Here is a 26087-nt window from a genome sequence, read left to right as displayed (position 1 = left end):
AGTGGAAATGGAAGCCGTGTAGTGGGTGGTACATGTTGCATGGTACACAGAGGGTCTTTGTAAAATGATATGCCCAGTTGTTCATGAGAACATTTTGTAGTTTTATTTATTTTTTTAAAATTATATATTTCTTATTTTTGTAGATTTGGGGATACACGTGCAGTTTTGTTACATGGACGTATTTCGTAGTAGTGCAGTCTGGGCTTTTTGTGTAACCATCACTCAAATAGTGAACATCGTACCCATTAGGTAATTTTTCAGCCCTCACCTACTTCCCTCCCACCTTTCTGAGTTTCCAGTGTCTACTAATTTTACTATGTCTGGGCTGGGCACGGTGGCTCACGCCTGTAATCCCAGTACTTTGGGAGGCCGAGGCGGGCGGATCAGGAGGTCGGGCGGATCACGAGGTCGGGCGGATCACGAAGTCAGGCGATCGAGACCATCCTGGCTAACACGGTGAAACCCCGTCTCTACTAAAAATACAAAAAAAAAAATTAGCCAGGCGTGGTGGTGGGCGCCTGTAGTCCCAGCTACTCAGGAGGCTGGGGCAGGAGAATGGCATGAACCCAGGAGGTGGAGCTTGCAGTGAGCCGAGATCAGCCCACTGCACTCCAGCCTGGGTGACAGAGCAAGACTCCGTCTCAAAAAAAAAAAAAAATTTACTGTGTCTGTATGTACATATTAGTTAGCTCCCACTGGTGAGCAAGAACATGTGTTATTTGACTTTCTGCTTCTGAGTTATTTCATTTAAGATAATGGCCTCCAGTTCCATTCATGTTGCTGCAAAAGATGATTTCATTCATTTTTATGGCTAAGTAGTATTCCATGGTATGTATATACCACATTTTCTTTATCCAATCATACATTCGTGGACAATTATACTCTTTATCCAATCATGTATGATTGTCCATCAATGTATGATTGGATAAAGAAAATGTGGTATATACATACCATGGAATATGTATATACCACATATACATATAGGTTAGTTCTGTATCTTTCCTATTGTGAATAGTGCTGTGATAAACATATGAGTGCAGATATCTTTTTATATAATAATTTATTTTCTTTTAGGTAGATACCCAGTAGTGAGGTTGCTGGATGAAATGATAATTTGATTTTTAGTTCTTTGAAAAATCTCCTGTTTGCCATATAAGTTGTACCAATTCACATTTCTACCAACAGTATATAAGCATTCCCTTTTTTCTACATCCTCACTATCTGTTATTTTCTGACTTTTTAATAATAGCCATCCTGATTAGTATAAGATGATCTCTCATTGTAGTTTTAATTCATCTTATGTCTGATGATTAGTGATGCTGAGCATTTTTAAAATATGCTTATTGGCTATTTATGTGTCTTCTTTTGAAAACTGTTCGTGTCCTTTGTCCACTTTTTAATGAGGTTATTTGTTTTTTACTTGTTGAATTGTTTGAGTTCTCTATGGGTTCTAGATATTAGTCCTTTGTTGGATTCATGGTTAGCCAATATTTTCTCCCATTCTGCAGGTGGTCTACTTACTCTGTTGATTATGTCTTTTCCTGTGCAGAAGCTTTTTAGGTTTAATTAAGTCCTATTTCTCTATTTTTGTTTCTGTTACATTTGCTTTTGAAGTATTAGTCGTGAATTCTTTGCCTAAGCCAATATTCAACAGAGTTTTTTGGCCAGGTGTAGTGGCTCTTGCCTGTAATCCCAGCACTTTGGGAGGCTGAGGTGGGAGGATTGCTTGAGCCCAGGAGTTCAAGAGCAGCCTAGGCAGCATAGTGATACCCTGTCTCTACAAAAAAATTTTAAAAATTAGCCAGGCATGGTGGTGTGCACCTGTAGTTCTAGCTACTCAAGAGGCTGAGGCAAGATAATCGCTTGAGTCCAGGGAGTTGAGGTTGCAGTGAACCATGTTTGTGCCACTGCACTTCAGCCTGGGTGTGAGAGAGAGACTCCATCTCTTTAAAGAAAAAGAGTTTTTCTTAGGTTTTCTTCTATAGTTCTTATAGTTTCAGATCTTACATTTAAGTCTTTAATCCATTTTGAGTTGATTTTTGGATATGGTGAGAGATATAGCTCCTATACTTATGCATATGGCTATGCAAGTTTTCCAGCACCCAGCATCATTTATTGAACAGGATGTCCTTTCCCCATTGTATGTTCTTGCTGCCTTTGTGGAAGATCAGTTGGCTCTAGGTATGTGGCTTCATTTCTGGGTTTTTTATTCCATTCCATTGATGTATATATCTGTTTTTAAACCAGTACCATACTGTTTTGGTCACTATAGCCTTGTAGTATAATTTGAAGTTAGATAATGTGATGCCTCTAGATTTGTTCTTTTTGCTTAGGATTGCTTTGGTTATTTGGGCTCTTTGGTCCCATATGAATTTTAGCATTTTTTTTTCCAATTTTGTAAAAAATGATGTTGATATTTTGATAGGATTTGCACTGAATCTATAGATCGCATTGGGCAGTATGGTCTTCTTAACAATATTGATCCCTCCAATCCATGAGCATGGGATATAGATGACACAAACATTTGTGTCATCTACAATTTCTTTTATCAATGTTTTATAATTTTCTTCGTAGAGACCTTTTATCTCCTTCATTAAATGTATTCCTAAGTATTTTATTTTATTTTTTAATTATTTTTGTAGCTGTCGTAAATGGGGTTGAGTCCTTGATTTGGTTCTCAGCTTGGTCATTACTGGTGTATAGAAATGCTACTGATTTTTGTATGTTGATTTTGTATCCTGAAACTTGACTGAATTCATTTATCAAATCTAGTGATAGTTGGAGGAGTCTTTAGGGTTTTCTAAGTATAAGATAATATCATCAGCAAACAGAGATAATTTGACATCCTCTTTTCCAATTTGGATGCCTTTTATTTCTTTCTAGTGCCTGATTTTCTGGGTAGAACTTCCAATGCTTTGTTGAATAGAAGTGGCAAAAATGGGCATCCTTGTCTTGTTTTAATTCTTAGGGGAAATACTTTCAAATTTTCCCCATTCAATATGATGTTGGCCATGGGTTTGTCATATATGGCTTTTGTTGTTTTGTTGTTCTATGCCTAGTTTGTTGAGAGTTTTTATCATGAAGGGATTCCGAATTTTATCAAATGCTCTTCTGCATCTGTTGAGATGATCATATGGTTTTTGTTTTTAATTCTGTTTATTTGGTGAATCATATTCATTGATTTGAATATATTGAACCATCCTTGCATCCCTGGAATAAATCCACCTTGATCATAGTGCATGCTATGGTTTTAGATGATCTGACCATACATCTCAGTTGCTCAGAACAATGTCCACATGTTTCCTCTGTGCCATTATTAAGATGGTCCCCTTCCCCTTTTAAAAGCATCCTGGGACAATAAATTCTATAGGCACTCTAGTTTTAGAGGTCCAATAAATAAAAAATAAACTTATGGTCTATGTGTTAAAAATATTAGGGCATGGCTTTCTAAGCATGGCTTGAAATCTGAGTTCTACACTATTCCTAATTAGTTCTTTGGCAAATTCTGATGCTAAGCCCAAATATTCCTGTTCTGAGGTCTCCTTTATCCCTTTCATAAATGATCCTGTGAGCTTTGGACTTTAGGGTTCAAATTTAGCCTGGAGAAGACTTGTGATTGTCTTTCAAGAAGTTGTTAGCTACTTTGTAATTAACTCAACCTTCAAGGATGGAGGTTGTATTACTACCTGAAGTAGACTGTACACCAATCTGTTGGTACACTCTGACTACCTGGAAAGGGTTGACAGAATTATATAAGGCTACATCACTAAATGGGCAGAATTTTAACACTGAGTGTAATGCTCAGAATCCATGCTGGCAAGGCAGACTGAATTAGCATTATATTTGCTTGCAAAAATGAAAATAACCTGTCTTACATAATACTGACAATATTTTGCTGTAATTCTGCCTTTTGAGCTTAGTGAAATTCCTATAACTTCTTTGCCAAGTTATTTCCAAGCTATAGGAATGTAGACATCTATCTGTGTTACTATTACTTTCATATACAAATAGAATTGCATCTCAAGTTTACAACCTTAACTTTCAAAGTCCTTTACATGTTAAGTTTTTTTTTTTTTTTTTTTTTTTTTACATTGCCTTTACAATTCACTTACAGTCTGTGAGGCCAACTTTGTTGTCAGGCCAGATTATAATCAAGCTATTCTTTGTTGAACCAATATGCCCTCTCAGGGAATGATCGTAATCAATCAATGGTTTTACCATTTAAAAATTCCCTATCAGGGAGTTTGAATTATTTTTCTTCCCTTTCATTTTTGTTTAAGCTCTATTGTTTTTTGAGCTAGATAATTTTCTTTGAGCTGGAAAATTATCCTAATCTTGGTTAATAAATATTAGACTAGTGCTAGTGATACTACATTAATAGAGAAGAATGTGCAAATTATGATATGCAATTGGACTTAATGAAGAATAATGGTGTATTTAAGAGTGTTCAAAAATTCAGAATTTCCACAAAGCCTCTATCTAATTCTTTAATCTTGGTGAAATTAAACTGAGTATTGATAGTGAAGCAATAAGGAAAAATATGAGGATGTTATAATTCTTTTCATGGAAAATGTTTCAGATCCAGAATCAAATCCTCACATTTAGATTTGACCTTGGGCAGTACCTCCTTTACTGGGCTGGCAAAAGGTTAAATGAGTTAATGATTGTGAACTGCATTGTTGCAGGTTGGATTCTGCCAGCTTTGATGGCTCTGACAGTGCTTCCAGTTCTGATGGCCTATTTCCAGATTTTTATCTTAGAGACAAAGAAACCTCGATCTTGTCTAAATCTCTGTTATTGTGGAGTTTAATTCTCTTGGAACCTAATCCCAACTCATAAAAGGTCTCATCTACTCTTATCATATAATTTTTTTTATTACTTGGCATTTCATAGATCATGAGTTCCATGATGGTAGAGATCATTCTTTTTGCTTGTATATGTCCTGTAGCCTCTGTCACTTAAAAAAGTTACTCAGTTTACATTTTTAGTTGAATAATTTACCACATAGTTCATATGTTTAAAGCATGTAAAAGAATTTTTTATGTTGGAAAGTTTCAAGTTGTCATAAAAGTAGATAAAATAGTTCAGTGGGTTCCCGTGTACTCAATATCCAGCTTCAACAATTATCAACTGATGACCAACATTGCTTTATCTTCTCTTTCCCCTGCTGCCTACATTTTTAAAAGACCAATATCAGACATCGTATAATTTTATCTGTAACTTTTTTACTATGCACTTCTCACAATAAGAATCAAACATAACCACAATAACACATTCGTACCTATAAAATTAACAGTAATTTTTAAATGTCATCCAATACTCAGTGCATGTTCAAATTATCACTTATCCCAAAAATGTCATATGGTTTAAAAATCAATTTTGTTAAGGTATGTCTTACACACAATAAGATCTGCCTATTTTAAGAGTACATTTAAATGAGCTTTGACAAGGGTGTACACACCTATAACCACCATCATAATCAAAGAGAATATTTTGATTCCACAAAAAGCTGCCTCATCTTCCTGTAGTCAATTCTACCTCCCTGCCCCATCCTTAGCCCCAGGCAACAGTGAATGTGCTTTTTGTTACATTATATATCACAAATATACCTGTATGTGTGTGCGTGTGTACATATATATAAAATATACATGTTATTTTATATTTATATATATAGCCACTTAAAACTTTTCCTGCTTATAAATAATTTTTAGCAATTTGATTATGATGTTATTTGTGTTTATCTATCTTGGGTATCATTGAGCTTCTTGGATCTGTGGGTTTATCGTTTGCATCAGAAATGGCAAATTTTCAGTCACGATTTCATCAAAAAAATTTTTTTTGCCACCTTCTATCTTCTTGGGCTCCAATTACATGTATGTTTGACTGATGGATATCATGCCACAGGTCACTGAGTTTCTGTTTTTGTTTTTGTCTTTTCTCCTCTCTGCTCATTAGTTGAATATTTTCTACTATAGTGTCTTTGTGTTCACTGATCTTTCTTTTGTAGCATCTGATCAACTGTTATGATTGTACAATGAATTTTTCCCTGCAGAACTTGTATTTTTCTTTTCTAGAATTTCCATTTTAGGCTGGGCGTGGTGGCTCATGCCTGTAATCCCAGCACTTTGGGAGGCTGAGGTGGGCGGATCACGAGATCAGGAGTTTAAGGCCAGCCTGACGAATATGGTGAAATCCCATCTCTACTAAAAATACAAAAATTAGCCAAGTGTGGTGGCACACGCCTGCAATCCTAGCTTCTCAGGAGGCTGAGGCAGAAGAATCGCTTGAACCCGGGAGGTGGAGGTTGCAGTGAGCTGAGATCGCACCACTGCACTCCAGCCTGGGCGACAGAGCGAGACTCCATCTCAAAAAAAAAAAAAAAATAATAATAATAAAATCATTTTCTGCTGTTCCCAGCATCTCTGTTATTTATCTCTGTTTCTTTTGACTGATTTTTCCTTTTGCTATGGGTCATAATTTGGTGATTTTTTGCATGTCTAATAATTTTTTGTTGGATGCAGGACATCATGAGTTTCTGTTGTTTAGTATTTAGATACAGTTGTCTTCCTTAAAAAATTCTGAAATTTGTTTTGGCAGACAGGTAAGTTATATGTAAGTTATATGTTTACTGATTAATCTTTACTAGACTTGCTTTAAAGCCTTTTTAGAACAATTCTAGAATAGGCTGTTCTTCAGGGCTAAGTTAGCTCTAGTACTAAGGTTTGATCCTTCTGAAATCTCTACATATTGCTCTGAGTGTTCCAGAAGGTGTATCTGCTCTGGCTCGTTAGAATTTGCATGCCTCTCAGCCTTGTGCAAGTCTGGGAATGGTTTTGATTATAGTTCTTCCGTTCTTTATCTAGCCTTGTGGATCTTCCCCCTATGAATGTACAGATTAATATTCAGCCAATGACTCAAGGGGCCACCTCTGTAGATCTCCGTAACTCTTTCTTTGCACAATTCACTTGTCTCTGAACTTGGCTCTACCAATTCCAGCTGGATCAGCCTCTCCAAAGCCTGATCTGTTTCTCTTCAACTCAGGGAGATTGTGGTGCTTTTCCTGGCCTCCCCTGTCCCTTTCATGCTGTTTAAAAGTCGCTGTCAGGCAGAAATCCAGGACAGTTGTAAAACTCAGCTCCTTTGCTTTCTTTTCTCAGGATCATAGTCTTACATTGTTTGATATCCTGTGTCTGAAAAAGATGTTTTTAAACATTTTTGTATAATTATCTTTTAGTTTTGGAGGGGAAGAAAATCCTATACCAGTTTCTTCTTCATGGTCAAAAATCAAAATCACGCATTTTAAAAACCGTTTATGCATTTTGAATCAGGACTCAAAGTAAGCATGTTTATATTGGTCAGTGTGTCTTCCTACCTTTATTTAATAAGTAATTAAGTCAATCCTTTACCCTTCACTCTCTCTCTCTTTTTCTTTCCATCCTGTTTTGTTGAACAAAACCTGAAATGTTTGTACAGTTTCCAACATTCTGGATTTTACTGATTGCATTCCCATGATGTCTTTTAACATATTCCTCCACATACATTTCCTGTTAATTGGTAATTGGATTTAGAGCCTTGATCATATTCAGATCAGATTTTTTTTTATAAAACTACATTAAAGGTATTGTTTGCTTTTCCATCACAAAAGGAGCCCATATTGTCTCTCTTTTTGTAATCTTAGCAGCTACTGATGCTCCATAACTAGATCAAAGCACTGCTTTTAATTTGCTAGTTTATCAGACACTGGGCTTTAGCTGGGTTCAATTTCTAGACTATGCAAATGGCACTATTATTTCTAGCTATGCACTTGTTTTCAGAATATCAATTACAATGATAAATTGGAGCTCAAATACAAAGTAGATTTTTTTTAACTTGCTCAAGAAAAAGTTGGCTAATTTTTACCAATTGGCGGGAGGCCAGCCTCAATTATATCAATCCATATGTTACTTTCAACGTTATGCTCCTTTCAAGGTTATGCTCCAGCTAAAGTTGGGCTCAAGTGGTACTGCCATGAGAGAAGGCACCCTTAGATTGCCTTCAGTTAAACAAGAATGGCTTTACGTATTAGTCATAAGACAGGGATGCTTTTGTAGTGCTTAAGGGTATGTACAAGCTGTTTGTAGTCTAAATTTACTTAAGGACTTCCTTTCATGCTAGTTTATGGGGCTGATTTAGGAACACAGGATTTTCCAAGCAAATGTGAGTGTCTGTCCCAGCTCTCGTACTAGTAAGCATGGGATTATTTATTTCTACACAGCACTTTCTCTAATGCCCTTTCACATCTTCTTCCTTAGGATGTTTCTTTGATACTATCAGACTAATTTTGTAAGACATAGAAACTGGGGCTCAGAAGATTCAGGGACTTGGAGAAGGTCATTTAGCTAGGCTCCCTCCTTCAGTCTCCTGATGGTGTCACGCCTGTGCCCCATGCCCTGAAACACAGTGGGAAAGGTCTCTTTAGTCTCCCCACTCACCACACCTGTGCAGAAGAACCAGCCTGTATGTTGACATGTCTTCACTGGTCTGCTCAGTAAGTCGTGTGTGTAGGCATACTCCCGAAAGTGGTTCTGAGCTGTGCGGGCAGTCTGTCTGGTTCCTCGTACTAATCTACGGTATCCCTTGTCCTTCTGGAATGCGCCCAAGATCTTTTGTCTATTTGGTAAAGCACAATATTTGTTTCTCAAGCTCTGTGTTGTTTGTTTTTGGAGTATTGTGGTATTAGTATTCCTTCCTCCACACACTCCAGGTACACCTTAGAGGGCAATCTTTTTCTCTCCAAGTTAAAATATTTGTTTAGTGTGGGATTTTTCGTCTCAACTTTCTGGAAACTATGTTTTAAAAGCTACTTCAGCCATCTAAGCTAAGGTGTGGTGACAACCTCTCAGAATTGATGTGGCTAGGCCTTGGCATACTGCCACACGAGACCTGATTTTCTTTACTTCTTCGTCTCACTCTCTTAAGGGAAGTAAAACTCAACTTTATTTTCACCATCATGAAGAAGTACAGCAGCCATCCAGCCCCGATTTTGGGAATAGCCTTACTTCAAATTCTCTGACTAATTACACAAACTAATGAGATGCTCTGGAATTCTGTACAATTCAATGTTCTGTCTAGGTCTTCCCACCTGTCTGCCTCCCTGGAGGAGAAATGGCACAGAAACATCTTTTGTAAGATGCCGTGTCCTGTTTGTTGATTCTAAAACTATGGTCATTAAATTTTACTGCGTGAAATGATTTGTCTTGGCTGGGGTTTCCCTGAGACACAGCGTGAGAGGGGCTGCTGCAGGTAGCTTATGTGAGAAATGATGCCAGGGAGCAGAAGTCAGGAGCAGGGAGAGGAAGGCAGGGGAGGGAAGCAAGGAGCCCTAAGAAATGGATTTAGGAGCTGTCTGCTTTTCCCTGGAGGGGTGAAGACTTTTCCATGATTCCATCTCCCATTTGGCAAGGGCCCCTGTACTTCCAGATTTCTCCTGTGTGAGCACCTAGAGGTCCTGGCAGACATCAGAGAGGGCTGGGGTCAAGGTGCTGAGGAGCTGTACCTACAAAGAACTGGTCACAGCAGAGGCTGGAATGAGAGTTGGGCTGAGGTTACAACCAGATGAGGAAGATTAGGGTGAGAAGTAGGCTCAGGCTAGAATGAGGTGGGCTGAGGCTAGAATGAATTGTGGTAGTTCCCACAGAGAGGTTAGATATTTCCTTGGGGGAGGGGAAACAAATGTCAGCATACATCTGTTTAATTGAAAGCATCTCACAGTTTTACCGACTTCAATTTATATTGATAGCTGAGTAAAGAAGAGAGTGTTGGCATTAATAGTGCTGCTTAGCAGCTCCCTCCCTGGCATTCCATTTCCATGTGTTAAGGGTTTAGTGTGGATCTGGCTGTGGCACTGGAAGCAGTGTGGGATCCCATGGGGAATGCACAATTCAGCAGTAACCGGTTTGAGGGCTGCAGGGTTTACCCTGATGCTGATGTCAATTATAGCAAATTGTAGGTCCTTTTCGATGTTCTCTTTATCTTTTACTATTTTTAAAAGCCATTTAAGGATTGTATGTAAGCAATGGAATATTATTCAGCCATAAAAAAGAATAAAACCAGTTGAATACAGGTTAACTTGTACAAGTTCCTGTGATACAGTATCACATTTTCTTCATCCATTCATCCACTGAGGAATACCTAGGTTGATTCCAAATCTTGGCTATCGTGAGTAATGCTGCAATGAACACGGGAGTGCAGATAGCTCTTTGACATGCTGATTTCCTTTCCTTTGCATAGATACCCAGTAGTGGCATTGCTGGATCACATTTTAAATTTTTATTGAAATTTAAAAATTGTTCTATTTTTAATTTTTTGAGGAACCTCCATGCTATTTTCCATAAGGGCTGCACTAATTTACATTCCCACTGATGGTGTATGAGAGAGTTCCTTTTTTCTCTGCATCCTTCCCAGCATTTGTTACTTTTTGTCTTTCCGATAATAGCCATTCTAACTGGGGTGAGACAGTATATGGTTGTGGTTTTGATTTGCATTTCCCTGATTAATGATGTTGAGTATTTTGTGATATATCTGCTGGCTACTTGTAAATCTTCTTTGGGGAAATGTCTATTCAGGCCCTTTGCCCATTTTAAAATTGGATGATGATTATTATTATTATTATTTTTGCTGTTGAGTTGTATGAGTTCCTTATGTATTATGACTATTAATCCCTTGTCAGGTGCATAGTTTGCAAATACTTTCTTCCATTTTGTAGGTTGTCTCTTCACTGTGTTGATTGTTTCCTTTGTTGTATGGAAACTTTTTAGTTTGATGTAATCCCATTTGTCTATTTTTCCTTTTGTTGCCTGTGTTTTTGAAGTATTTTCCAAAAAATCTTTGCCTACTCCAGTGTCATGAATAATTTTCCCTATGTTGTTTTTCTAGTAGTTTCATAGTTTCATGTCTTACATTTCAACTTTTTATCCATTTTGAGTTGACTTTTGTATACGGTCAGAGATAGGCATCTAGTTTCATTGTTCTGCATATAAATATCTAGTTTTTCCAGCATCTTTTATTGAAGAGACTGTCCTTTTCCCAGTAAGTGCTATTGACACCTTTGTTGAAAATCAGTTGGCTGTAAATGCGGAGATTTATTTTTGGGCTGTCTACTTTGTTCTATTAGTGTATGAGTCTGTTTTTATGCCAGTACCTTGCTGTTTTGGTTACTATAGCTTTGTGGTCTCTTTTAAAGTCTTCTATCTCTTTCCAGCAGTGTAGTCTTGTCAAGCTACTTCATCTCCCAGTAGCTGTTTCCTCACTGGGAAAATAAGAGTTGCAGGCAGGATTAAATTCAATATGAATTTAATTTCCTGAAAAAGTCTTCTTAGGACCATTGCTCCATAAATAATGAAGATTTTAGAGAATAAGAATGTGATTTATGGGAGCCATATGTTGTTGGGTGCTGCATCCTTGGCAGTTTTCTATATTTTTCCTGTGGGGAGGCTCAACAAGTCAATGAATTGTGACATGCCCTCACCAGAGGCTGCTTCCATGGTGTGTGTGGTTTGAGACTGAAGATGCTCAGTCTAGGCCAAATGTCTGATCTAGCCATTTTGCCATTTCACATCAGCAAAGGGTGTGTGTGTGTGTGTGTGTGTGTGTGTGTGTGTGTGTACAGTGAGGGCGATGGGTGCAGAGCTTTTTCGACACTAACCCTTTCTGGCAGGAACCTTCCCACCTCAGTTGACGTGGCTCTTTCTCCTGTCTCTCTACCACTTTAGCTTCTAATATTTTTAGCTCTGAGGGCTGACCATGGCAATGAGCTTTTTCACCAGGCACATGACAAGTGTGTGAGACCCTCAGGGGGTCTGAGTTTGTCCTTGGACCAGGCCATCCTGCGAAGTCTCTGTCTTGTTCCTCCTGATGGAATCTGGCCTCACACACTTGGCCCCTGAAGAGGAGCTCGTGTCCAGAATGTGTGATGTGGGAGGGGGATGATTGTCCCACTCCTCTCCCCAGCATCAAATTGAGCCTCTGGGAAACTGTGACTTCAGCAGAATTCCTTAAAGAATGTTGGTGCCTCACTTCACGGTTAGGGTAGGGTGGAAGGAAAGATATTCTGGCAGCAGGCTCTTGAGTTCCTACTGGGTGGACATGCTGTCTTAGCTGACAAGGGTAATTATTGTTCCCCAGGCCATTGTGATGGAGTTGAGAATAGCAAACCTAGATGAAATGACTTGAGATGCTTAGAAAGGAATTTAGCAACAAGTGGAGAGTAATATAGTGAAGATCAAGTGCTGAGTGTCTACCAGGAAAGAACCCATCCAAGTCAGTTCCAAATCCCTTTGCAGAGACTTCCTGATTAGGTGACTTTTGAAAGGGTTTTGGAGAAACTTTTCTTCTACGGAAGTTCCTGGAGCTTTGACTCCAGGCCACAGCCAACACATCCTGGTGCTGCAGGATTACAAAAATCACCCTCAAGGAGGAAACTGTAGACCTGGATTTTTGGAAAAGAAGAGGTAGGCTGGTGTGATTCTCTATGACATGCAAGTTGCACCCTGGATTGCCTTTCTGTTCGTGAGCACTTCATATTTGCTGGCAATTGGGCAACCAGTGCCATCACCTCATTCACTCCTGACAACAACTCATGTATACATGGGTGCCACAGCCAAGCAAGGGTGGGCAAGCTGCCCAGAGTTAAGAGCAGAATAGGGGTCCCGGTCCAGGGTGGTCTGACCACAGAAGCCCTGCTCCTTACACTGCATTTGTTTCCTGCCTTGTAAGAAATGACACAGCCCCATCTAGGACATGAATGAGGATCTGTTAGGCACCAGGCACCATTCAGAGCCCTTGGTCAACATTTTCCCACACAGTCGTTTGGGAAACCTAGTACAGTCCACTAGGTCGGTGCTGTTATTGGCCTGGCTGTCAAGGAACAACAGGTATAAATATAAAGCTAATGGTAAGCAAGGTCCCTCCCGGTGCAGTGTGCCTCTCAGTCAGCTGCATGCTCAGCCACGTTACCCAAGTTATATCCTGCTTGGATGCCCAGAAAGGCTTGATAAAAACATGATGTGTAGAGTCTGAGTGAAGTGTGTATGTGAGTATATGTGTGCGCATGTATGTATGTGAGTATATGTGTGCGCATGTATGTATGTGCATGTGTGTGCATGTATGTGTGTGCGCATGTATGTATGTGAGTATATGTGTGCGCATGTATGTATGTGAGTATGTGTGCACATGTATGTATGTGAGTATATGTGTGCGCATGTATGCATGTGCATGTGTGCGCATGTATGTATGTGAGTATATGTGTGTGCATGTATGTATGTGAGTATATGTGTGCGCATGTATGTATGTGAGTATATGCGTGCGCATGTATGTATGTGCATGTGTGCTTACATTTGCATCACATATGTATGTGTCTGTGTGCACATATGCACGTGTATACATGTGCCTGTGTATGTGCACATAAACAGTGTCTTTGAGGGCTTGGCAATCTGTGTTGATGTTATTGAAGCTCTGCACCTGACTTCTGGTCACTTTTCTGTTACTGACCAGCTAAATAACTTTGAGTAAGTCATTGAACTTATTTGGACACTAGTTCCATCAACTGTTAGATATGAGGATGGGAATGGATTGTCTCAAAGATCCTTTTGAGTTCAAAAAGTCTATGATACCAGTGAGAATGTTCCAAAGCCTTAATGACACCTCACTGAATGCAGCTTAAAATGGCTGCAAGCTGACCAGACGATTGCATTCTCCAAGGTGAGCTGCCCTTCATACCTCATGCCCTTGAATAATGCAGCGTAAGTGTGTTTATTGTGCCAGCTCTTCTTGTAGTTTTATTCTAATCCCTCGTCTCAGGCAACATTTGTTTTGGCTGCAGTTCGATACTTCCTCCTTCAGAGCTATGCTTGGTTTTACCTCTAATTCTGTGGCCCTCAGGGGCTGGTTGTACTGATAAACTTTTACAAGTAAAAGGAGCTGTGGAGATGACCTCCAGCTGGGGCTGAAGGCCTATACAGCAGCACCTTCTTGCTGAAGCTAAGTGATCCTCTTGGGGAGGAGGGTTGGGGGTCCAGGGCCCCTGAAGTCAGGATTCCCCAGTGAGTTGGTCAATGTGGACTTAGATCTTGTTGAAATATCCAGAAGTATTTCTAAGTAGAATATTTTTGATCACAGAAACAAGGTAAATATTTTTGTCTTCCTTCAGTGGAGGACTTTGGAGCTCTCAGGTGGCTGCTCTCCATCCCAGGCCTGGCTGTAGGAGGCTACCTGGGTGGGGTGCAGGCCCATGCCTGGGGTCCTGGCTCCAGAGGCACCACATGCCACTCAGTGAGGATAAGAATCCATTCTGCAGCTTCTTTCAGCCCCACATCAATAAATGGAGACAGTGGGAAGGGAGCTGTGCTACTTTGAAGGATTTGGGGGCAGACTAAGAAGAAAACACATGTGAAAGTGCTTTGTAAGGATGAGTGCATGGCGGGGCGACGAGGGGCGTTGGAGGCACATGCAGCTGGGTAGGAGTTGCACTTTGGTCATTGGCCAGTTATGTGGCTTTGGGAACTGTTCAGACTTCTGGATCTTGGCTTCCTTTTTTGTTAAGTAGGTGATGATAGGGATCTCATTGGGCTGCTGTGAGGATGAGGTGTGTTTACAGTGCTTGGCAAAGAGTGGGGCTCCATGCACATAACTCCATTTCCTCTACATCTACATTGCTCTGCAAACGAAGGGTGCTATGACAATAAACCCACCCCAAGGCCAAAGGAGGGGCGTGCTGGGGGTGGAGAGGGATGGCTGGGAACTAACTAGCCGGCATCAGCAAAGGAGGGATTGTTTTGGTCTTTGTAGGAAATTAGGAGGATTGCCTTTCTCATCTATTACTTCCAATGAGTTCTGATGTTCTGGGGAATCTTCTCTGAATGAATCCTGGTATTGCTTCATTTATACTATAACTCTGTAGTATAACTATATCCTGTGTAATCCAAGCCAAAGATAGAGGGTTTGGGGACGACAGATATTTCAACAATAGTCACTGAGGCAAGGAATTGTGGATTCTAGGATGAGGCAGCAGGTGAAGGGCTTTGGTGCCCACACAGAGGAGAAGAGGGCAACTGGAGCGAGGAAATGTCTTGCTGTCCTGCCGTTTAGCTCTGGAAGTGTCTCTTGGGACAATCTTGGAGAAACGTCAACTGAAGTGCTAGTTTAGTAGCAGGGTAGCTGAGTCCTAGCAGTGTTTCGCATTTCTCCAGTGAAAGCCCTAGAGGACTTGGATGTCCCCATCTCTAAAGACACCGGTGGCGGCAGAGGCCCAGCTTCTAAACACTCAGGGTCACACAGGCATTGGTGCTTGGTAAACGTTTTCTTATATAATTTCAAAGCCATCTGTGACATGGCTGTATCATCCCCATTCTACTAGTGAGAAAACCAATGCCAGGGGATGGAAAAACAACTTCCTTATGGTCACACTGCCAGTCAGTGCCTGGTGGGACCCAAGCTGGGCCCCAATCCCCCATGTCCCCCTTGGCACCTGTCCTGCTTTAGGGAAGATGGTCTGTGGTCAAAGCTTAATCTTTGCTTTGATAAAGGATTAATTCAAATTTTGGAATGAAAAGAAGAGATTTTGAAGCCCTAAAACTGTACTGTGTGACAAAACTCCTGTTCTTGGGATATGGTGGCAGAAGTAAGGGAAAGTGTCAGAAAAAGTCCCGCAAGGTGAGAAAAACTGAAAAAGAGACCCCTTTCCTATAGAGGCTCACGAAGGGGAAATTGCAACTGTGCGACCCTGTCTGCTAGCTTTCTCTGTCACTTCATCCCCCATTCCTGTTGCTGTGTGCACTTTTATCCAACCCTCTTAATGTCCATGGCTGCGCTACCAGCAAAATCTAACCCCATCTGCTTGGCTAAGCTTCTTGCGCTCACCTATACCTGAGGAGTACGACATCAGGCTTCAGGGCTTATTGAAGTCATTACTCACATCATTGCACTAATCACAAACAGAAGTGAAAGTTGTAAATTGTATATAATTACATTTCATAGAGAAAAAAGTAGATTTAAAAATGGCAATTAATATTCTTAATAGCCAAAAGTTATTGCTAATTAATAAGAAAAACATAAGCACTCCAATTGAAAAAAAATGAGCAAAGGTCATAAAGACATAAAACTCGCCTGTGGAAACATACGTAGAGGAAACACAGAATTAGTGAGTGTGTGTATGGAAATAAATGGAAGGATAATGCTTGCTACCCAGTGTGGGCTTTGGGGGTAGATCTACCTGGACTGAGTTCTGGATTCACTATTTACTAGCTCCATGACCTTCAGCAAAGTAACCTCTCTAAGCCTTTGTTTTTATCTGTAAAATAGGGATACTTATTTTCCCTGCCTTGAGGGGTTATTGTGAGGATAAAAGAAAATAATTCTGTAAAGGGCTTAGTAAAGTGCCTGGTGCAGAGAAATTTTTCAGTGCAGATTAGCAATTGTCACTGCTAGTAGTATATTTGCATTGATAACAATTAGTAATTTAACATCTCACTGAAATCAAAGAAATGCAATTAAAACAACAAATACATATTATTTGTTACTTATCAGATTGGAAAACAGGTGAAAAGATTGACAGTAACCACTGTTGGTTAGATGTGGAGAGATGGGTTCTCTTGTGCAATTCTGGGATGGTAGGACCTGATGCCCCATTTCTGCAGGGCAATTTGGCAATATACATTAACGTTGAACATTCTGATAGTTTTTGACCCAGTCATTCTTCTCTCAGAAACTTATTCCTGGGAGATAACTGAACAAATGCACAATAATGAATATATAAGAATGTTTATCCTGGCATTTTTTTTTATAGAAACAAAAATTCAGAAGCAACTTAAACATCCTTCAGTGAGATTGACTAATAAGTCCTGCTTCATTTTTATGACAGAATGCTACTACTAATAGCAGTGTTCTAGATTTTCATCCACCATCATGGATAAAGCTCTCCGTCATGTGGATGGGTAAGAAAACATGGAGTGGAAAATGACATCTATACTGTGCCCATGTATGTGTATCAATCTTTTAGTTTAGTAAAAGACACAAGTTTGGGAAAATGTGCTTTAAATTGCTTACATTGTCCTCTTCTTGGGATCTAATTTCGTTATTTGATTTTTATGAGTGTCTGTTATCTTTTTACTCAGAAAAAAAAGGAAAAGGAAAGTTTTTTTTTTTTTGTCCTTTAGCAGCAAAACCTTACACAAAGATCTACACGTTGATTTCGCTCCTATGAACTGACTTGGAGTTATGTTCCAAGAACGCATCACCACAGCTTGCTTCCTTTTCTTTCTTCCTTGTTTGTTACTCAGAAGTGTTTCTTCATTCTTTAGTCTATGATTCATGCAAGAAGACAGAACCAATGTTTTGCAAGACCTTCCCATGAAGTAGAAAGAACAGTAGTGTTCACTCCATAAGAGGCGTGCGCTACCACTTGCCTTGCCTCATGGGCAATGAGGAAGTTGCATGGGTTTCCTACGGCTCTGCAGGGGTGGAGTGAGCCAGAAAGAACTGGTCAGCCCTAGACATTCAGGTGCTATCAAATACCAGCCCTAGGGTCAAGAACACTTAAAAACAAAACAAACTTGAAACTTCCTTTGCTTGTGTTGCTTAGAATCACTGCGGTAGGAGGATTCCTGAGGCATTACCTGGATAGTCTCATCTGGCTGGACATGCAGGAGAACTGGGAGACTGCCGAGACTGCCACGTGGGGTGACTTGAGGGATCTTTGACACTCTCTGTCTTAATCTGTTTTGTGTTGCTATAACAGAATACACAGACTAAGTAATTTATAAAGAAAGGAAATTTACTTCTCACAGTTTTGGAGGCTGAGAAGTCCAAGACTGAGGGGCTGGCATCTGACGAGGGCCTTCTTGCTGCTTCATTCCACGGCAAAATGGCAAAGAGAAGGTGAGAGAGAGCAAGAGGGTGAACTCGCAGGGTCTGGCTTTTTTATAATGGCATGGATCCATTCATGAGGGTGGAGCTGTCGTGATGCAACTCCTCCCATTAGGCCCGACCTCCCACCACCATTGCATTGTGGGTTAAGTTTCCAACTCATGATTTCTGGGGGACACATTCAAACCATAGCACCCTGTGCAACCTACCCTGAACAACGCTATTATCCATCTCTTCTTTTCCTGGTTTGAACTTCCCACTATAAATAAAAATTCCAAAATGCCTTACATAAGCCTTGTCCTATGATGTGCACCACATTTAGCAAACACTGTTCCGTTTGAGCCGCACAACAACCCTTCAAGGCAGGCGAAGTGAGACTGATTATCCTCATTTTACAGATGAGAAGAAAGGCTCAAAGGGACGGTGGGACTTGACTGAGGACCCAGCACCTCCTGGACCTGAATCAAGGCCCTCTGTCCCGCTGCTTTTGTTGTTGTTTACCCTGCAACTTCACAGCCCTTCAGAAGGCCCTGGACATCATGTGCAAGCTCCGTGGATGGCCTGAGATTCATCCTTCCAAGTTGTTTTCTGACTGAGAGGCAACATTTTAAATTGTGATCCCCCCTTACCCCACCACACACACTGAAACAAAAGTTTCAAGAAGTCATTACCACACAATGACTCAGATATGTTCTAGTCTAGTCTGTCTATTCCATTCCATTCCAGTCTCTTTCCAAACGAAAATAAAAGGAAGGAAATGCTGCATGCGACTTGGTAAGTTAATTTCAGGACACCTTGGGACTGCTTCCTGCTGCATGAGGCATCAGCACACAGCAGGGGATATTTTGCATTCCTGTGTGCACCGTGGGTTAGACAGGCTGCTTGGCCCTAAGTGGAGAATGGAACTCCAGTAGAAAGGCTGAGATGCACTGCAAGTAACCACTGCAGAAAGGAGAGGATGCCCACAGGCAGGCTGAAGTGGACCCGTGTGGAAGGAACACTTCAAGACCACTGGCCAAGAGACTTCCTTCATTTTTATCCCTTCCTGTTTTTCGCCTGTGCTGAGGATTCACCACCAGTGTGGGGAGCCTCTGACTGTAAAAGGAAAGCTGACTCTGGCTCCTTCGTGTTTTCTGTTAAGTTGGGGCCTAAGTTTTTCTGCCAGCCTTTGCGGAGGAAATGCAGCTTCCCTGGCACACTGCCCGGTCAAGGGACGTTGAATCCATTGCAATCAGCAGTTGAAGATCCACACTACAGGCCATGTTCTTAAAATAAGTGGCTCCAGGACTTCCAAGAGGCAGAAGGGGCTTCAGCTGGCCATGGGCAGGATCCAAGTGGAGCTTCATCCCTGCAGAGCAATGCCTGGCTCTCAGCGGAGGCAGTCTGGAGCAGGGCTTCTACCCTTTTCAGCTCATAGATTACTTTGGAATCTGATGAACACTGGGAGCCTTCTCCTTAGAAGAACATACATATGCACGAGAATGAGACAATTACATAACATTCCTTGGGTTTCACAGATGCTGAAGCCAATGACTTGCTTGAAGCCTGGAAGAGGGTGTTGACCTGGAGAATCCTAAAGGCCAAAATTTAGAGAAAATGGTGCCAGTAAATGAATTCACAAGGAGAAATGCTTCCTTGCCAACTCACTTCTCCAGATTATTGAGTGCATCTATCTGTTTGCTTTTGGCTTCACGCAATTGGCCCTCTTCAGTTCCGTACTCTTTCCTAAATACCTTGCAAGTTTTCCTCTTCTCTCATGCCATTTATAATATGCTGACGCCTGATTAGAGGAAGGAAGGACTCAGCTGCACTTGCACTGGGGGAAGGGCCACTTACAGGAAGCCTACCTGGGGCTGAGCTGGGTCTCACTGCCTCCTAGACCTAAGGGCCCCAGCTTTTCCCTCATCTCTTGTTGCAGCCACCACTTGTTCTAGATCTGCATCCATATCTGTAAAATGGGGGTGATAATACCTTCCCATAAAGTCACTGTGAGGATTAAATGTCCGGCACAATATTTGATGCATAGTGGTGCTGAATAATATTTATTGTCATTACTATCATTATTATTGGCTGCTACCTTCATTTTGAAATTCTATCCATGAGCTACATTAATTAACCTGCATTCAGTGTCAGGATGTATTTCTTAATTTAGATTTTTAAATTTTTAGAGCATGTGGCTAACCATGAATGTTGCATTTTCTCAGTACCTATTTATTCATATGAAACTATAGGTCTGGGCTCAGAGTTCATCAATATTTATAGAGAAGGCTCTACCTGTTGAGCACTGTGCTAGGCATCCCCAGAGATGCTGGCCTACTTCATGCCTTAGGCAGCCCCACACGTGAGCATTACTAACCCATTGCTGCTATGAGAGCATTCAGAAAGAAAGCAGTTTAAGTTGCTTGACTAAACTGGTAGAGTTGAAATTAAACTCTGTCTCTTCATGTTACTGGACTGCTTGGATATCTACTTTCAGAAAGACTACAGCTTGATATAAACATTGTAGTTTTGCTCATGGAAAACTTACAGTAAATCTGGGCTGTTTCAACACAACTGTCAAACTGTTCACCTACAGCTGTATTTTCTCTTGCAATGGGTGAATAAGGTACAATGATGGTTGTACAGACCATTACTATTATTACCTGTTAATTTACATTTAAACAGATTTATAATTTCTGGCCCTGATTTCCAGTCCAGTATACAGCAAAAATCCATATTTTAAACTAAAAATAATGTGCTTTTCATAAAATCATAAAGAAACCCACCTGGCTATTGTCTGGGGACTTGCGAGAAGGATCCTTTGTAGTTTTCTTCCATGTCTTCTAAGGAATAGTTTGGAACACATAGTAAATAGTCAATTAATACCAAAGGGCATTTGCAAAACTATCAACTCCCAGTTTATATAAAGGACCAGCCACCAGAATTATACATGAATTAAAAAGTTAGCACACCATAGTCAGAGAAGGACAACTTGGGAATAGTTGTGTAACAGCCGTGAGGGTAAGCGAAGGGTCTGTCTACCTGTGCCTTCCCAGAATACTGCCTCTCTTCTGGTCTGCTTTGGGAACAGTCAACAGGAAAGAAAAAGTAGACAGATAGAGTCAGTGCGCTGAATAAAAGAAGATTCTAGATCACTACAAGAGGCTTGTCATTTGAGGCAAAGTGTCTGAGAGAGGAAGGTTTTTATGGCCTCAATGGGGAGACTGGTCACTGATAAAGCGTTCTGGATCTTTTGTGGGCCGGAAGATAAGTTGAGTTTTGGTTAATGTTTAATGATGCAGAACAAAAGTCATAAATAGTCCATGAGAAATAAGAGCACAAATGATTGGGATTGGACAGTTTGCTTATTCAGCTGCAAAATGTGCTGTGTTCTATTCTTGTCATCCCCCCATGGTATAACAAAATGCAGTGTGACAAGGAATATAAATGTCCCCTAATGCATGGGCAGCTTTTTCTGTTCTAAGAGAGTCAGCATGAGTCACTCAGCAGGTGAAAAATGTTTAATTTAGAGAAAATAGGATAAATAGCAATAGCTTCCACACACCATCATTGCCTGTATCAGGTAGGAATAAGATTACTGCCAGAAAACCTGAATGAACAGTGGCTCAAACACAAGGTGTTTGATGCACCCCATAAGAGGTTGCAAAGCGGGCAGTCCAGCCTGCTATGGCTGTTCCCCAAAGACCCAGGCTCGGGCTGCTTGAGCTCCAGCCATGGCTTCCACACTCCATCCAGCAGGATGGAGGAAGGGGTAAGAAAGGGTCGACTCCCTTCTTCGTATGCAGTAGTTTCTGGGATTTGCGTGTATCACTTCTGCTTGAACCCCATTGGCCAGAATTTAGTCACATGGCCACACCCAGGCCGAAGGAGGCTAAGAAATGTAGTCTTTATACAGGACCGGGATGATGAAGAACTGGGGGTTCTAAATTGACACTCGGGAGCCAGCCGCAGTTTCTGCCACACAGTTCCCGGGATTTGATTGTCCCCAGCCAGAAGTGGTGCCTGGAGGGCGTCATGTGAAGCCCTGGGAGGGCAGACGCCCGGAGCCTGGACTCCAGGCCACAGAGCCAAACACGGTAATGGCTGCCCAGGTGGGTGGGTGCAGCCTTTGCTGCTCTGTGGCTCTGACCAACGCCAAGGGTAGGAGTGATGAATCTGGTGAGAGAGAGGAAGAGGACCCAGGGAGACAACATTTGGTGAAGTGGCCTACTGTGGTGGTCCAAAGGCCTTAGATTACTCTGAACTTGGATCTGCTGTGTGGTACTGGCCAGTTACTGGAAGCCGCCATGTTCTCATCCACCTAAGGGTTTTGGGCAGCATTGGGTGGGGTAATATATAATACATTATATACATATATATAATGTATATAAAATCTAATTTTAATTACACATGAGAATTGGATGGGGTGATATATATAATACATTATAGACATATTGTATATATACTAAGTTTAATTATATATCAGAATTGGGTGAGGTGATGTATATAATACATTACATGTTCATAACGTATATATAACAATTATAATTATGCAATATAATGCATATATGTATGTATTTTATAATTATATAATTGAGTGGAATGATGTATATGAAGCATTCAGCCCAGAGCTTGGCAAGACGTAGTTGTTCAAGAAATGTCCATTTTTACACCTAGTGACTTGGGAGCAAAGATGGGGCAGTGAGCTGGAAGCCTTCTGCAGAAGGGCAGGCTTCTGCTGGTCGGCGGTGGGCGTGGGGGCCATCACAGAAGCACCCATCATTGCCTGTTTCATCTGCTGTGCAGCTCCAGGCGCTCCTGATGGAATGTCACAGACATGCTGCCGTTCTCTGCTCGCTGTTTCCCAACCACTCCTCACCACCAGTCCTTCCCCAGTGAAAATAGCCCTCATGTCACTGCCCTCGAGGACTAGGGTTTTAAGTTTGTCCCTGATAACTAAAAGTGTGAGAGACAACAGGGAGATCGATATCAGCATCATGAGGGCAATCACAGGAAACCGGTAATTTCTGAGGTGACGGTGGGCTGTGGCTGAGACAGAGGTAAGGAGGATAGTACAATGGTCAGGAAGTCTGCAGTCACATTGTCTTTACTGGCAGTTTTAAATTCTCCGCAGGCTCAAGGCAGTTTTCTCAGCCGGCATGATTTGGAGGTGAATACCTTCTGGGGTGTGAAAAATGCATGTGGAGGGATTTTCAGCTTCCAGCCCTCTCCTGGGACTGCGCAGCCCACAGCCTACACAAGTGGGATGTTCCAGTGAGAGCTGCAGGTCCAGACTGACCTCATTATCCCCCAGCCTGGCTTCTCCCAGCTTTCCTCTCTCCACGATGCCCTCCACCCATCCAGACAACCCAGCCAGGAAACTGGGCGTCATCTCACACTCATGCCTCCCATTCCCACCCAAGCTAACAGTCCTTTAAATATGTACTTTAAAAATCCAACCCAGTCCTCCTGGACCCCCAGCAGCAGGCCTCCTTGAGAGCCTCATCATTTCTCCAGGAATTATTGCCACAGCCTCAGACTGCAGACCTCTCATCCTCAGCCACCTGCTGATCACAGCCATCTTGCTTCCCTGGCTCCCCATCACCTCCAGGAAAGATCCCCAAATCCACTGCTGGCTGTTCATGTTCTGTGGCTTCAGAGACACATCCAGCCTCCCCCTCAGCCCCTCTCCCCAACTCATTCCCTGCTTTAGAAAAATCAAATATTTCCAGAACTCACCATGCTCTCCCATGCTGCTAGGCAGATGGTTCCACTCCTGGACAACTCCCCCTGGTCCGGGTTCCAGCAGTTCTCCCCTGGAGGGCCCTCTTGGGGTTCTGCAGAGCCTAGATGGGGGCCCCCACAGTCTCTTAGCGCCTAACAAAGAGTCCCTCCTTGACCAGACTCCAGCCAGACTCTTGATCCATAAAGACTTGAACAAACACTAGCATGACCTCTATCAGCTTAAGGCCACATCCCTGGAATGACCCTAGCCCCTTACAGTGCCTGCCTGAGAAAACTCAAGGCTGCTAAAAGAATCTACTGTTTGTTCCAGCCAACAAGTGGAAGACACGGGCTCTGACTCCCAGCCTCTGCGGGTGGTGGGAGCCTGACTTCATAAGCTCAGTCAGCAAACCCAGATGGGTTCACACAGACCATGTCCCCTTCCTGCTTTCTGGAAATGTTAACTTCTCTGACTATACTGGGCCCCCACTCACCCCTCTCCCTCCTCCCTCATTCCCCCTTTAAACACCCCGTCCTCTCTGCACAAATCAAAGCGGAGTCCAGCTCGCGTGGGGCCCTCCTCCCTCCAGCAATGGTGCATTATTGACTGACATGTATCCTGACCACTCTTCCTAGTGTCCACCTTTGCTTCTTTTTGACCTGCCTTGGGAAAACCCTCGTATAGTTATTTCCATTGTTAGCATACCTTTCACATCAGTCCTCTGTGGATCCATTCATTCATTTATCCATTCATTCAATTAATTTAGAGTGAATTTTCTTCCTTGTGTTAGCTGTAAGAGGTACAATGCAGATGTCTTCTCCTGCCTTAGCTGCTTTAGCAAAGTACCAAAGGCCAGATAGCTTATAAACGACTGGCATGATTTCTCACAGCTCTGGAGGCTGCAAGCCGAGACCAGGGTGCCAGCAGGGTGAGTGCTGGTGAGGGGCCCTATGGAGTTGCAGACGACTGACTTTGTGCCTCCTCACATGGTAGAAGGAGGGCAACAGAGCTCTGTAGGTCCTTTTTATAAGGGCGCTAATCCCATTCATATTACCTTAGAAGGCCCCACCTCCTAATACCACCACATTAGGGGTGAGGATTTCAACAGAAGAATTGTAGGGAAACACACACGTTCAGTCCTGTGCACCCTCCTTGGGAAACTTCTTCTAGGTTGGGTTCAGTGTCTCTCCTCTGCACTTCCATAGGACTCGTGCTGGCGTATGTGCTTATTACACTGTAATAGCAGATATTTGCCTGCTTTCCTTACTGGACAGTGACCTCTTTAAGGATAAACTGAGCACTTTGTGTCTGTGAGAGAGTATGTGTGAATACACAGTTCTGTATGTGTGTGTGTGAGCCACACAGGGTCTGACTCCATGAAAGATTTTTGAATGAATAAATGAATGAAAAGTGTTACGAGATTGATCTACTCGAAGTAGCCTAACTACTTCGTGATTCACTCTGCATCATTATAACTTGAAATACGAAGTCATTTGGGAACATGCTTAAAGCCAAAACATATTATTTAGTCACAAGGGATTCTGAGAAAAGAGGAGTCCTACAGCTATGGAGGAACTATATTCAGCAAGTCTGTTGATCTGTTGTTGAAGGATCAGGTTTCTTTTTGGTAATGAACGTGTTCAGTGCAATATCTGTCTTATGTTAAGAGCAACCATGTAATGATTAAAATGAATAACCTTCATGCTTCTGGAGCTGTGCTCAACCAGTTCTGTCAAAATACAACCAGTGAGTCTGCTGGTTAAATTTAGAGTGGAACATGAGGAATAAGTCAAGAGAGAGGGAAATGTCTCCAAATTAATTGTTGTGGTAAGTTCCCGGCAGACAGAAACTGGAGGCTTATTTTGCTTAGCAAGCCTCACAGTGAAAGGGATTAATTCTGTGAAGCACCGGGTCACTGTGAGAGTTTAGTCCTCACAGCAAGAAGAGGCCTGGGTATGTGGATGGTGTTTGTCTATGTGGACATGCCGTCATCCTAACTAACGGGCTGTCTAGGCAGGCTGGTGTTGGGTCAGGACAGTGGGTCCTTCTGTGGGTGCTGATCAAATTTGATTACTTAAATAGTTTCATTAAATATGGAACAGGGTTACAGGGTGTAGTTACAAGGACCAGGAAATGGAGGGTCCTTACCCTCCATTGGGGGTAGGGTGAGGGGGCTTGTAAATTATACATTGAAGCATTTTAAGGAGCTTTTTCAGACCTATGGTAGAGTAGGGAACTCTGAACAAAAGGATTGAGGTGAATGTTCTAGAATTACTCTAGGAATATCCTAGTAATGCTCTGGGAGGTAACATTCTAGCATAGAGTTTTGGGCAGTGTATCTTGCTAGTTGTGGAGCTTGGGTTCAAACTCGGTAGATCAAGGCTCAAATATCAGCTCTGCCACTTGCAAGCTGGGTGACTTGGGCACGTTGACATGTCTGTAAGCCTCCGTTAGCTAACCTGCAGAATGGAGGCAATAATAGTAA

At 41.8% G+C, this 26087-nt stretch overlaps 1 long non-coding RNA gene across 1 annotated transcript, besides 1 other annotated feature; it reads left to right on the top strand.

Moving 5' to 3' along the window:
* The first annotated feature begins 10346 nt into the window (after positions 1 to 10346).
* On the top strand, positions 10347 to 19912 carry LOC105374879 (uncharacterized). The gene is made up of 2 exons (XR_001743918.2): positions 10347 to 17910; positions 18297 to 19912. It is a non-coding gene; the product is annotated as an uncharacterized LOC105374879 (long non-coding RNA).
* Positions 17092 to 18291: an enhancer, noted in NCBI's record as "CDK7 strongly-dependent group 2 enhancer chr6:1286792-1287991 (GRCh37/hg19 assembly coordinates)". NCBI's record gives its function as "activates an origin of replication core promoter dependent on BRD2, BRD4, P300/CBP, MED14 and CDK7 cofactors, with strong dependence on CDK7, by STARR-seq in HCT116 cells {active_cell/tissue: HCT116}" and the evidence as "EXISTENCE:reporter gene assay evidence [ECO:0000049][PMID:35650434]".
* Positions 19913 to 26087: the final 6175 nt, after the last annotated feature.

This window comes from Homo sapiens, chromosome 6 (assembly GCF_000001405.40).
Source record: "Homo sapiens chromosome 6, GRCh38.p14 Primary Assembly".
In the NCBI taxonomy this organism is placed as follows: domain Eukaryota; kingdom Metazoa; phylum Chordata; class Mammalia; order Primates; family Hominidae; genus Homo; species Homo sapiens.
Note: the sequence above shows the minus strand (reverse complement) of the source record. Positions and strands in the feature narration are given on the sequence as shown.